Source organism: Homo sapiens, chromosome 6, assembly GCF_000001405.40.
Source record: "Homo sapiens chromosome 6, GRCh38.p14 Primary Assembly".
In the NCBI taxonomy this organism is placed as follows: Eukaryota; Metazoa; Chordata; class Mammalia; order Primates; family Hominidae; genus Homo; species Homo sapiens.
The window spans coordinates 128148670-128162124 of NC_000006.12; the positions used below are offsets into that span (position 1 = coordinate 128148670).

The 13455-nt window shown below is 33.1% G+C and overlaps 1 protein-coding gene and 1 long non-coding RNA gene across 7 annotated transcripts in view; both read right to left on the minus strand.

Annotated features, from left to right (window-relative positions):
* PTPRK (protein tyrosine phosphatase receptor type K) overlaps window positions 1-13455 on the minus strand; it is a 551815-nt gene that overhangs the window by 179885 nt on the left and 358475 nt on the right. The window lies entirely within an intron of this gene.
* The window catches only part of LOC124900216 (uncharacterized), a 61437-nt gene that overhangs the window by 25681 nt on the left and 22301 nt on the right, over window positions 1-13455 (minus strand). Inside the window, exon 2 of the long non-coding RNA XR_007059752.1 lies at window positions 1-13455. This exon is cut by the window's left edge and continues 25681 nt beyond it; it is cut by the window's right edge and continues 16813 nt beyond it. This is a non-coding gene — a long non-coding RNA (uncharacterized LOC124900216).

Below are 13455 nucleotides of genomic sequence, written 5' to 3' on the forward strand. Positions count from 1 at the left end.
CCAATCCGAGCAGAAACCAAGGACTGGCTGATTGCACAAAAAGAATACATTAGCCTTTCATTTCTTACCTTTGCAAACTTTTAAAACATTTTAGAGTTATCAAAATACAAAAATAAAAAAAATTTCTGCTTAAAAATGATATGTCCAGCTACAATGATTTACTTAGTAAAAACACTAGTGTATAGAAAATTTATTTGCATGTTAATTAGCCTTGGGGGAATGAGACTTGGTTTATTCTAGGATCATATTATGCCTTTCCAGGAAAAGAACAAAGCCAAAGTTTGGGAAAATGACAGAATTTAATTACCTGTTTCCATGATTTCAAGGGGAATTCATTGACGATATCTTACATAAATGACTGATACATTTTAATCAAAGAGAACCATGAACCAAATCAGTCTGCTTGATATAATGGTGTAGACTGCCATTGAATAAGAAAATCTTTACGGAAATACTTGGACACAGGGTGGGGAACATCACACACGGGGGCCTGTCGTGGGGTGGGGGGAGGGGGGAGGGATAGCCCTAATGTAAATGACCAGTTAACAGGTACAGCACACCAACATGGCACATGTATACATATGTAACAAACCTGCACATTGTGCACATGTACCCTAGAACTTAAAGTATAATAATAATAATAATAAAGAAAATATGGCATATCATGGTTAATGAAATAATAATAATATTGATAATTCTAAAACAGAATAAATATATTAAACCTGAAATGTACTAAAATGGTGTTTTAGATTTGTCTGACTTAAAAATATTTTAACTTTTGAATAGTTGTTATATTGCAGTCACAATGTAATGTTGCTAACATGCATTAGACAGCTTTGGAATTAGATAGGCATATAGTCCAGTTCTAATCTAGTAGTCACTGTGTGACACCTAATCTTGCTAAGGTTATTTCTTGATTTATTTTCAATGGGCTTAATAATACATACATCACAGGGTAGTTGTGAGAATTAAAATAGATAAGGTCTGCATGCAGAGTACTTGGTAAAGAACCTAGCACTTGGTAAGGTCTCAATAAATGGAAGCTGTATATAATGTTTGTAATATAACTTTCTATTTTGATATATGGAAGCCCATTCATATTGCTCTCATCACTCCTCTCTTCCTCCTTGTTCCTGCCAAACTAAATCAGCATTGGATTTATGTGCATGCAAATGATAGGTAAGAGAAGAGGTAGTCACTGCTGAAGGCCTTTAGAACTGAGATTACTTCCAACTAATTGTAGATGTTCACTATGGGGAACAGTGTTCTGAGAGTTACAACATGCCAGGATTTCATTACAATTACAGAATCTTCCTCAATAACCCTAAATGAATCTTATCATTCTACTGGATGATGAAACAGACATAATGTTTGCTCATGAGCTGGAGGCACAATGTAGTCTTAAGACATTCATTAGTATCAATTTGGGTTAAAAGGAATGCCAAGAAGTTTAGCGGATCTGGTTGTGATTTTAGCTACAATCAATATAGCAGTAAACCAGACTCAAAACTCCAGGGGTAAGAGTGGGGGTGGGGTCACAGATCTATAATTACTGCACTGGGCTTAGTATTGCTTTTTAAAGCTTTTAATATCACATAAAATCATTTCTGATTTTATTCCTTTTGACTCACACAAATACATAGTGGTCAATAGGCTAAATAAATGAACAGTTCCAACAAAACTGGATTCAAGAGAGGAGGTATATAACTCTACCATTGTTTATGAAACAAACAAGTAAAACCTAATAAATTGGTATATGTCCTACATTCTAGCCTCAGCAGACCCTGAAGGGCCCACACTTTGAACTCACTGTTCCCTCACTCGGGAATATGCCATCATTTCCCTCCCCGGCCTTCCCTGCTCATCTTTTTAGAGGCATTCCAAATGTTACGCCTTCTGTCAAGACTTCTCTGCTTCCTTGACACTTTCAAACAGCTGACTGCTATTCATGCTTTGAAAATGTGCCCTGTTATAATATTATATAAACATCTGTTTATCCCTTTCCTCCTGGATATCGCATTTTCCTTGAGGTGTCCCAAGTGTCTAAGTATAAAACTACTGAAGAAGGGAAGGGCAACGCTATGAAAAAGACAGATTTAATGTCAAATCCTGGCTCTATCTACAGACCTGGGGAAATTTATTTACACATTCTGTGTTACTCATCATTATAGGAGGATGAAAATGTTCTTTTTTGGGTTTCATGTTTTTATAAAAGATTAGTCAAAGTATGTAAGGTGATTAGCATGCATAGTATTTGGCAAAGACAATTATGGTTTAAAATGTCAGTTATTATTACTGACAATAACTCAAATATAGCATATCATGTTACAAGGGGATTGTAGGACTAAAACAAAATATTAAAGGAATATAAGGTAAAAAAAAGTAATTTTGATTGATATTTCAGGCTGTGAAGCCTTACTGAATTCAACAAATGTTTGTTAAATTGACTTGAATTTCTAGATCTGTTGCAAATTAAACCAGAATTTCAAGATAAATAAAAAATTTAAAAATTCAAAAAAGGGAGGAGGAGTTTTTTTTACCCCATTTTATGGATTTCAGCTTTCCTTTTGTCCATTAGTAATGTACTTGGAACTATATTTTTAAAATCCCATATGATTGCTCTATCAGATTTTACTTTATGAATGTATATTGCCACAAAAAATTAAGTCAAGGGTAGGAGAGAAAGGGGGAGAAAAATTAAGGCATTCTTAAAGACAGTCCTTAATCTTTATCTATATAGCTTTAAACATCTCTTTAGTAGATTATTACTAAATATGAGGCACTAAAAATGGTAAGAGATCCCATACATAGTTAAACATACAACTGTAAGAAGTAGTAGGAAAGACCATAAATTCTTCATAGATGAAAACTGCAGATCAGATAGTTATTTAAAAAAAAAAGTGTGCACACACACATATACACACCTATTTGTCAGAAGGTAGCATAAATATAAGTAACATTCAAATAAAGATTCTATAAATCTATGCTTCTTTTACGTTACACAAAGGCTTCCACTGTAGAGAACGTGGTATCTTAGGAAAATTAGATTTAACTACTAGAAGGTTATTACAAACTTCTAAAAAAGAAGTTTGAATGGAGTGATCAAGGAAACAGAATAACAGATGATTAATGAGTAAATACTATAGAGGCAAGAATGATAAAAAGGCAATTCTTTGAAACTTTCACTAATGAAGAAAAAATAAAATAGAGTATAATCAGGGAAACTGGGGTCAAATTAAAGGGTTTTTTTTTCTTGATGAGATTTAAGAATATGAATATTTGTGGCTGCTTTAATGAAGATAAAAATTTCAAGATGAATTGTTTGATGGAAAAGGTCCCTGCAGAGACCAGAGCACCAAAGATTAAGGAGACCTAGGAAGGGGCTATTATCTCTGAAAAGGCATAGGATGTAAGTGCCACAAGGTCAGGAAGAAGGTAGAAGGGAGGACATTCTAAAAAATGTTTTGTTGAGGAAAGAAACAGTAATCGTGGAGTTAACATTAAATGCCGTTGATTTTTCTCACTAAAATCAAAGGGAAGATTTGTAGCTGAGAGTTAAGAGAATGGTTAGATGTTTTAAAGAATGGGACGTCGTCAGAGCCACCAGCTGCTCTCAGAAATAAGAAGTGGAAAGAGATGAATCCAAAGTACTGATGGTAAACTAGATGTCTACTAGAACCAATGAGCACAGTGACAGGACTTCAGGTCACATTGATTGTGGGATTTATTCAATGAAGTCTGACAAAACGAGGGATATCAGGGGAGAGGCACCCTAGCTGGAGTGAGTACACTGGTGAAATAGTCCAAGAACAGATCCTGACAGGGTAGGGAAAGGAGAAAAACTTAGAGAGACTGAGGAATTGGGTTTTGCAATGAGGCTGGGTAGGAAAAAAAAAAAATCAATGTAGTGAGGAGGAAGAGGTTGAATTGATAAGTTTAATGCTAGAAATCAAAGGGTCTGAGCAGTGTGTGGGTGCTCATGGAAACAGAAAAACAAGGAAATGGGTTATCCATTTGGCTAGTTAAGTCCCCTAAGACGGTGATAAAGTGAAAAGGAATGAGAAAAAGCAGACCCACGTGGCAAAAGGGTGATTAAAAATAAATAAGGTCTGCTTAGAGTGGACAGATCGTGACAGAGAAAGTATTAAAATAATATCATTTATATGATGTGACTCACAAAGGGGGAGCAACTTGCGGAAGAAGAGTGACAGAATTATCAGGGGACATCATCTAAGTCTAGAGGCAGTACCTGGTGACCTGCCTGGAAGGGTCTGGAACTCAAACATCTGCAGGACTGACTCTGTAACACCTCTTTTTTTAAATTACAGAATCCAGTTAAACTAGAATTTGTCATGTGTCTTCCACCTCTCTACAACTGAGAACCATGAGGAAAATGATCCAGAACCAAGGATACTTTTTGCCTTCAAGTTGAACAAAAATGTGTTTGGGAAGAAAAATAAAATATGTGAAGAAATTAGTTGATTAACAAGATAAAATATAAATAACTGATGTGTATGATATGTGAAATCAAAATCAAAGAAAGACTAGACACTTGAGAAAACCAGGATTTCACTAAGTTAGAATGATAATGGTAAAAAATGGCAAGATAGTGAAGACTGATTAAAAAAAAAAATCAGGCGATTTCCTCAGTAAGGTATAGCACAATGTGCTGCAGCCGCTGGGACATGGTTGAGAAAGCTATTAATGCATAGTATAAGAAAAGTAATTTAATCTATTTAATCATGTTCACCATTCTCCAGCATGTGGATTTTCCTATTAATTAAGGCATATTACATATATGCTATCAAAAGAAAAAAAAGTGTTTTCCAGATTTTGATTTAAATTACTTGGGTGTAAAACTGTACTATCAGAAGGTGTCTGGGCTTTTCAAACTACAATTAGCATTATATTTTTCACGGCAGCTCTACAGTTTGAAATCCATCTTTCAAATTAACAATGAATGTAAGCAAATATACTGCCCTCCCCTTCAAGAATCAGCTAGTTTATAAAGAATTTAAGATAAAGGCATTATAACACTGTTCTGACAGACAATGACAACGTTTTAGATACAATACCTGCTAAATAAAAACATGAAATTCAGCAAGATTTTGTTAATCATTTCATTTTATGGAAAATTCGTTCATTCAATTTTCCCAAGACAAAATGGTCTTTTCCCCTGAAATATTAAAATAGCTAAAAAGGCTTTTATACTATCCAGTATAAAGGTATAGTTCAGACCTCCATTTATCAAAATGTGCTTCACTCTCCATGGTCCCAAGAAAAAAGTAAAACTCCACAAATACTGTCAATAATAATGATGGAAGCTTAGGAATTCAGAAGCATGTATTCTTTAGCTAAGAATTGATTTCTGATTAGAGCAGGCCATGATTGTGACAGAAAAATTAAAGAAGAAGGATAGAAAAAGCTAAGACAGGTTTATTTCCTAAGACTTAACATTAAGAGTCATAATTGTTATGAATAATGTAGTGATCTCAGTTGCATGTCACATCTTATCTGTTAATAAATAATTGATATATATTAATAATTAAAATTGAGAATTTGTATATTGACAAAAGAGAAAATCCAATTCATAATGAAGGCATAACAAATATGAATCTCTACTGAAGCATATAGCATCAGAATGGCAATAGCAAAAAAATTAGGAAAAAAATTGAGCAAAATTCAGTTTTATTGGTGTCAGCCATTAGTATCTGTAAAAAAATCACTGCGACCTAAAATGATCTCGCTGACTTTAGCAATATAATGACAAAGAAGGTTTAATGATGGTAAACTACCATATTTTAGATAAAAATTTCTTCTTTAATAGTCTATATATCTTTGTAAACAACAACAAAAAAATCAACATTAACCTGGATAGTGAGGACTAAAAATTTTCAAAAACGCACAAATTACACTACCTCATTTTTGATCACATGTAATACAACAGTCAAAACCAATGGGAGATTTTTTTTAATGGCTCGCCTAAGGAATTACTTCATCAAAGAGGAAATAAAATGCAATTACAGATAATTTCAAAAATAATGAAAATGATAACCCAATTTCCAGCTTTTATAAATTCTCATAATTTGTTACTTACATAGTGATGAAAGATGAAAATACAGGTAGAGGTACAAACCTATATTCCATTTTTATGTTTACTTTGGAAAATATTAAACATACAGAAAAGTAGATAGAAGAATGTAACAAACCCACATGTACCTAGATTCATTAACTATATTAGTTGATTTGTTCAAATTTGGATCTGAATAATGTCCACACATTGTGTTTTGGTTGATAAGCCTTTTAAGTCTCTTTAATCTGTAAGTCCTTTCTCTCCTCTCCCATTCTCACACAGCACTTGGGTGATTAAAGAAACCTGAATATTAGTACTAGAGTATTAGTACATCCTAGCAATATTTATACATTATATAATAGAAAGTCCTACATTCTAGATTTCTTTGCTTAGTATTATTCACACATCTCTCAGTGCCCAGAATATCCTGTAAACTGGTAGTTATACTAGAAGTTTGATAAGATTCAGACTTGAATATTTTTGGCAAAAATATTTCGTAGGTGTCGTATACTTCTATTAGGAGGCTCAGAATATTCAGTGCTCCATTTTTTGGAATATTAACAGCCATTAAAATCATCACCTAAATCCATTTTATTAAGTTTTGCACAGTGGAAATATTATAATTCTACCATTTTGTCTTTATTCATTAGTTGGAATAAATACAGGGAGGCTTCACTCTTCAGCTATTTAGTTATCTTGAGTTACGGTTAATTTAGGAAAGGCGTGTTAAATATTTCTTTCCCTATAGGTTTCAGAATATGTTGGTTTCCTACTATCATCCAAAGATTATCAGCGATATCAATTTTATAATCTATAGATTGGTGTAAAAGTAACTGCAGGTTTTGCCATTGAAATTAATGGCAAAACCTGCAATTACTTTTGCACCAACCTAATATTAAGAATTTTAAAATATATTTTATGTGATTCAGTCCATTACAGTTACTTCCTTTGTTTCAATCTTTTTATTTTACCTCAGACTGGCTAGTGGTAGTGATTTCAAGCTGGCTCCTCAATTCTTGTGACAGAACTTTAGTAAGCTTTGATACCTTCCTTATTTTCTAGTGTTATGAGATGTTTCAAGCTCTAGTATATACCTGGTTCAAATGTGGTATCAGTCATTGCTCCAAAGAGTCACAAAAGTTTGGATAAATTAAAAAGTGCAAGATCAGTAATAAAAATATTGGGAAGCATTCCTAACTTATGTGGTGAACACCAGTAAACATAATTCTGCTGTCCACCTATCCATTCCAGGGTACAAACACCAAGTTTAAGAAACGTAAGTTCTGTGCTGATGTAGCAATTATTGCAAGTTTCTTACAACTTAAATTTTATAGTTTTGACTACATTTTTTTCTCATGATTTACCATGAGTGTTTGTGTTTGGTCATCTATGTATTCTTTAAACTATATGTCATAAAGTTGAAATTCCCAATATAAGCTAATATTTTATAAATTAGACCTGAAATAAAAACAAAAAATATGGAATTTCTTAAATATCCACCTAAATACAAGCTTTGATAATAATCTGGAGAATAAAAAGCATAATACATACTAGGTATTTGTCCATTCTCACATTGCTATAAAGAACTACCTGAGACTCAGTAATTTAATCAAGGAAAGAGGTTTAATGGACTCACAGTTGCATAGGCTTAACAGGAAGCATGGCTTGGAGGCCTCAGGAAACTTATAATCATGGCAGAAGGTGAAGGGGAAGTAAGCACATTTAACCATGGTGGAGCAAGAGAGAGAGAGAGACAGTGAAGGTGGAAGTGCCATGTGCTTACAAGCAACCAGATCTTGTAAGAACTTACTATCACAAGAACAGCAATGGGGAAGTCCACCCCCATGATTCAATCAACTCCCACCAGGCCCTTCCTCCTACATGAGGGGATTACAATTCACAATGAGATTTCAGTGAGGACACAGAGCCAAACCATATCATACTGGCAACAAAAAGATGAGAGGAATATACAATCGTTATTTAAGAAAATAACCTTTATTTAAAGCAATTATATAAATGTATAGAAGTTTTGGGATCCACTTCTAAATAGTTCTAAATGCTTATTTATACATGTGTCTGTATGTATATATACATGCATGTCTGTCACACTGGCAGTATAGCATCATGTTTAAGAACACGATTTGTAAAGTCAGACTGCCTGAGTCCTTTTAATAACTGTGTGACCCAAAAGAAGTTACCCAACTCCTTTTTCTTTCGGTTTCTATGCCTTTAAAATGGGTATAATAATAACTTATCGTAAGAATGCAAATGAATTACTACAGATCCATCATGATTTGTCCAACATCAGGAATAAAAGCTCTGAAAACCAAAAGTTTATTCAAATTCTGAACTATGATGAGGCAGTTTATAGTATTTAATAATCCCTCTTGCTTTTGCTTCAGGGAGACTAATGTGTCTGATCACAGGAAGTTGTTCCAGACTCCACTAGAGAATTAATAAGCTTTCATGTCTGAGCATAGGCTATTGATTTTTCATAAACTGTCTTTCAACACTACTGCATCCTTTTAATACTTGCTTCTACTTTTTTCTTAAATGGGAAAGATACTTTAAGACTCTCAGGATTATCTCATTTCTTAAAACATATACATGAGATTATTTTTAACTATCTTTTTAAACATATATTTATATCAGTATTATGAAGCACATCACAGTTGACTAAATAAACCACAAACCTATAAAGAATAACATTTCTCTAAAACTAAAGTGACTTGATATTTGTTTTGGATTATTATGGATTATTATACAGCTTGTGAATGGTTAAAAACATTCCACAGTCATTTAAATTTCTAAGTTTATTTCTTTTCCAGTTGCATTAAATATAAATACTCAAGAAAAATAATATTTAAAGTATCTATAAGGATTGCCATTCTAACTGGTGTGAGATGGTATCTCATTTTGGTTTTGATTTGCATTTCTCTGATGGCCAGTGATGATGAACATTTTTTCATGTGTCTACTGGCTGCATAAATGTCTTCTTTTGAGAAGCGTCTGTTCATATCCTTCACCCACTTTTTGATGGGGTTGATTTTTTCTTGTAAATCTGTTTAAGTTCTTTGTAGATTCTGGATATTAGCCCTTTGTCAGATGGGTAGATTGCAAAAATTTTCTCCCATTCTGTGGGTTGCCTGTTCACTTTGATGGTAGTTTCTTTAGCTGTGCAGAAGCTCTTTAGTTTAATTAGATCCCATTTGTCAATTTTGGCTTTTGTTGCCATTGCTTTTGGTGTTTTAGACATGAAGTCCTTGCCCATGCCTATGTCCTGAATGGTATTGCCTAGGTTTTCTCCTAGGGTTTTTATGGTTTTAGGTCTAACATTTAAGTCTTTAATCCATCTTGAATTAATTTTTGTATAAGGTGTAAGGAAGGGATCCAGTTTCAGCTTTCTACATCACAAGGACAGAAAACCAAACGCTGCAAGTTCTCACTCATAGGTGGGAATCGAACAATGAGAACACTTGGACACAGGGAGAGGAACATCACACACTGGGGCCTGTCGTGGGGTGGGGGCAGGGGGGAGTGAAGGCATTAGGAGAAATACCTAATGTAAATGATGAGTTAATGGGTGCAGAACACCAACATGGCACATGTATACATATGTAACAAACCTGCGCGTTGTGCACATGTACCCTAGAACTTAAAGTATAATAATAAAGAAAAGAAAGTATCTATAAGGAAATGACAACTTTTTAAGTGAACAGCTTCTCTGTCTAGTTCCTACTGACTGAGCTGTATGTACGCTGGAAAGGGAACAAGACACACATTTAATAGAGGAGGGCCAAGAGCACTGGAAGAAAGTCTGAACGTTTGGTTCATCCACAATACACAGACACTTCAAAATAAAATAAATCATTTAAGAGTTAATTTATGTAGGTTTACATAAACTTCTGGTTTCTGTTTCCTATTTTTCATTTTTTCCTTCATATAAAAACCACAGGAAGCATTACTGTTGTCAAATACTTGACCCGTTAAGTCACTCAAACCATATCTGCACAGTGGCCACTTCACGTTTCCTTTCAAAACCTTCATCAAACAGTTAATAGTTATAGCTTTTTAAAAAATCTTCATTTGAATAGGAAGCTTGTTTAATTCCTCTACTTTACTCCTATATACAGTATCATTCTTTTCTGTATGTACATGAAAATGTGATGGTTGTCATGGGCTCCCTCACAGGTAATAATTTTTGAAGTTCTTACCTCCTCAAGACTAATACAGATCAAAATCATTGTAGGGGTCAAAAATCCTTCACTTAATTAATTGACTATATTGAAATTATTTTAGTTTCTGAACATATATGGGGTAGTCAATGAAATCAAAATTAGTTTTGAGTGACAAGAGACAGTACAGAAATGCCTCTTTTATATCTGAAGGGTTGTAAAATTCAGTATAAAACAACAACAACAAAAAACTTCATGCAAAAAAGAACTGGAACCATTACAGAAAAAAAGAAATTCTGAAACCTAAATGATCAGTTTCATCTACATGAATAATTCAATATTAGGTGTAATTCCAAAAGGATATAGCAAGTTTCAAGATTCAATTTATTATGTTTTTGATCCAATGAAGTAGATCAAAGCCCCAGACTAGGAACTTTCTACAAACTACATATAAAAATGCCAAGTGATTTTCATCACCTTCTGGTTTATTTCCCAGTAAAAGAACCTATCAATGAGGTTTCATTCCTAACTGCTGTATTTCTGCATAACATGATAAAGCTGAATATGTTCCATTACCACAGTTTCCTACTCACGGGTTGTAAGCTCATTTTATATTTAAAGTATGAAAGTTGTGGAAAACCCATTATTTGAATATTTTAGAAAGAATCATAATCAAATATGGTTTTTGAATGGAAATTACAGAATGAAAAGCAAAGTCTTCACACTTTCTAAAGTACCAATTTGCAACTCTTGTATTTAAAAAAAAAATACAGATGGACGTAAACTTGTACAGGACCTCTAAAAGTCTGCTTGTGCTGGTACCAATAAAGTCTATTTCTTCCAGACAGTCTCCTTATGAACCTGCTCTGAAGACATGAAGATAAATGTAAGCTATCAATCACTTCCATGGCAATAGATTGTGATGTCAAAACAGAGAGGAATACAGATTTATGGTAAGATGGCATATATTTGGATAAACAAAAAATTTAGCAAAAGGTCTAAAAACAGGTAAAATGGGCAGGATTATGTTTACTTACATCCTGAGGTTTCTTTAGTAGCACAAATTACATATTGTTATAAAAGAATTAAACTTCATTTATATCTTGATATCTATATTCTTCTTCAAAATTATTCTCATTTCAGGGCATTGGAAAGCTCACGTAACTTAAAAAGAGGACAATTACTGTTGATATTTTAATATTTTCATACTCTAACAAATTAACATTTCATATTAAGTAAAAATAATTATGTACTTATGCAATCAAAAATGTACAGTAATAGTGATAACTACATTCATTCTAAAAGGGAGCAATATCAGTACCAAGGGGGAAACTGATTCTTAGAGGGGACAAAAAATACTACTCTTTTTATACACATACATAAACAGATACACAGCATATTTGTGGTATTAAAAATTTCATCAGAAGACATTAGGAAACAAATTCTAAAATGGCTGGTATGGATGATAATGAACAAAAGTTTCAAAAACACGAGATATACTCCCATTAGCTGAGAAAAGAGGACTATAAGATGATACAAAGTGGATGAACAACAAAGTGACAGAAATTTTGCCCTAAGAGAGAAGGAGTTTGCACTCTTAACACTGAGGAGGTAGATCAGTAGGAAAAAGTTTAGTCCAGAAATTTAAGTTATAGCAACTCTTTTCATTAGCCATGTGCTTGGCCACATTACTTAACTTTCCTTACTCTTGCTTTCCTAAATCTGTAATGGAGACAACAAAACCTAAGCTCATGAGGTTGCTAAATTGAATGTAATAATGGAGGTGAATCCTTAGCACAGTGCACTGCAAATAATAAATAATATGTTAGAAATAAGTATTAATAATATGTATTTTAATATAAATTTATATTGACAAATAAAAACATTAAGGCTAATCTTCCAAAGCCTAAAACATGTTACAAGATGAACTTAATACTAAAATAATCTGAATATAAAATAGGATCCTTTAATGCTTTAGTGACCAAATTCAAGAATAAGATATTGAATGGAACTGTAGAACCTATATTTGTATAAAATTTTAGGTGAGTACACCTCCATCTGCTCAAGATGATGTATACATTTATAAGCCTTAAGGAGAGGGGCTAGACCAGATGGTCTTGTATTCTCTTCCACCTCTATTCTTTTAAAATCTCAAATAATTTCGGTTAAACAAATATGATCACTCAAAATCATATAAAAGATACAACTTCTTAGCCCATGTTTAAGAACACAATAGCTTATATTTTGAAACAATTTGTTTTGCATGTGAATTTAGTCAAAAATAACAAACGATAACTGCATTCATAATTAACAGTTCTGTGGCTTTCTTGAATATAAATCAGAAAGAAACAATATTTGTTTAATGCATTACTGAAAGTTCATGTTCTAGTAGCCCTATGTGAATTGTCAATGTGTATTCCATAGCTTGTTATGATTTATCTTCATCACCCACAGGCCAAAATTACCAGACTCCAATTACTTTGCTTCCTAGATTCAAGAAAGAGAGAGAGAAATTATGTTAATCCTACCACAGGAGATGGTTTAAAATGCCCGAGGTAAAGAAAGTAATCTACTGTTCTCTGACATTCACTGCCTGAAAGTCATTCACATTAACAACCATTCAAACTTGTTTAGTGCAAGCCAATTGCTTCTATTTCCCTCTTGTCAGTTACATTAGCTCCAATTCAAATTTAACTCTTATAAAATTAAAAAAATAAAACTCTCTCAAAGCCAGACAAGGGTATATGTGGGTGCTGACAGAATATAATGCTTCTGAATTTACCAACTTTAATAAGATAAATTTCAAAGTTTGATTTTCAAGAAGTACACTGTACTCTTATATGCTTATATTTGTTCTCTTTTCTAACCCTCATAAACTTGGGTGTAATGAATGGACAAATAAACATATTTGTCAATTTAAAACAAAAAAATAAAAATTATCATTTATACTATGGACAGCATCAGCAGAAAAAGCAAACGTCCCTAATTTCAACCAAGACTATGTCATTACTTATGATTATGAGGTAGAGATCAAGTTACATTTCAAACTGCATAATATAATCTAATATTCTTTCACTAAGAACTATGAAACTCATATAACAGACCATTAACTTCCAGACAATTTAGAGCTTACAAGGTTAACATCAGCACTACAAAAAGGAAATGGGGATGACATTTAAATAACAGTAAGTGGCAATATACCATTAT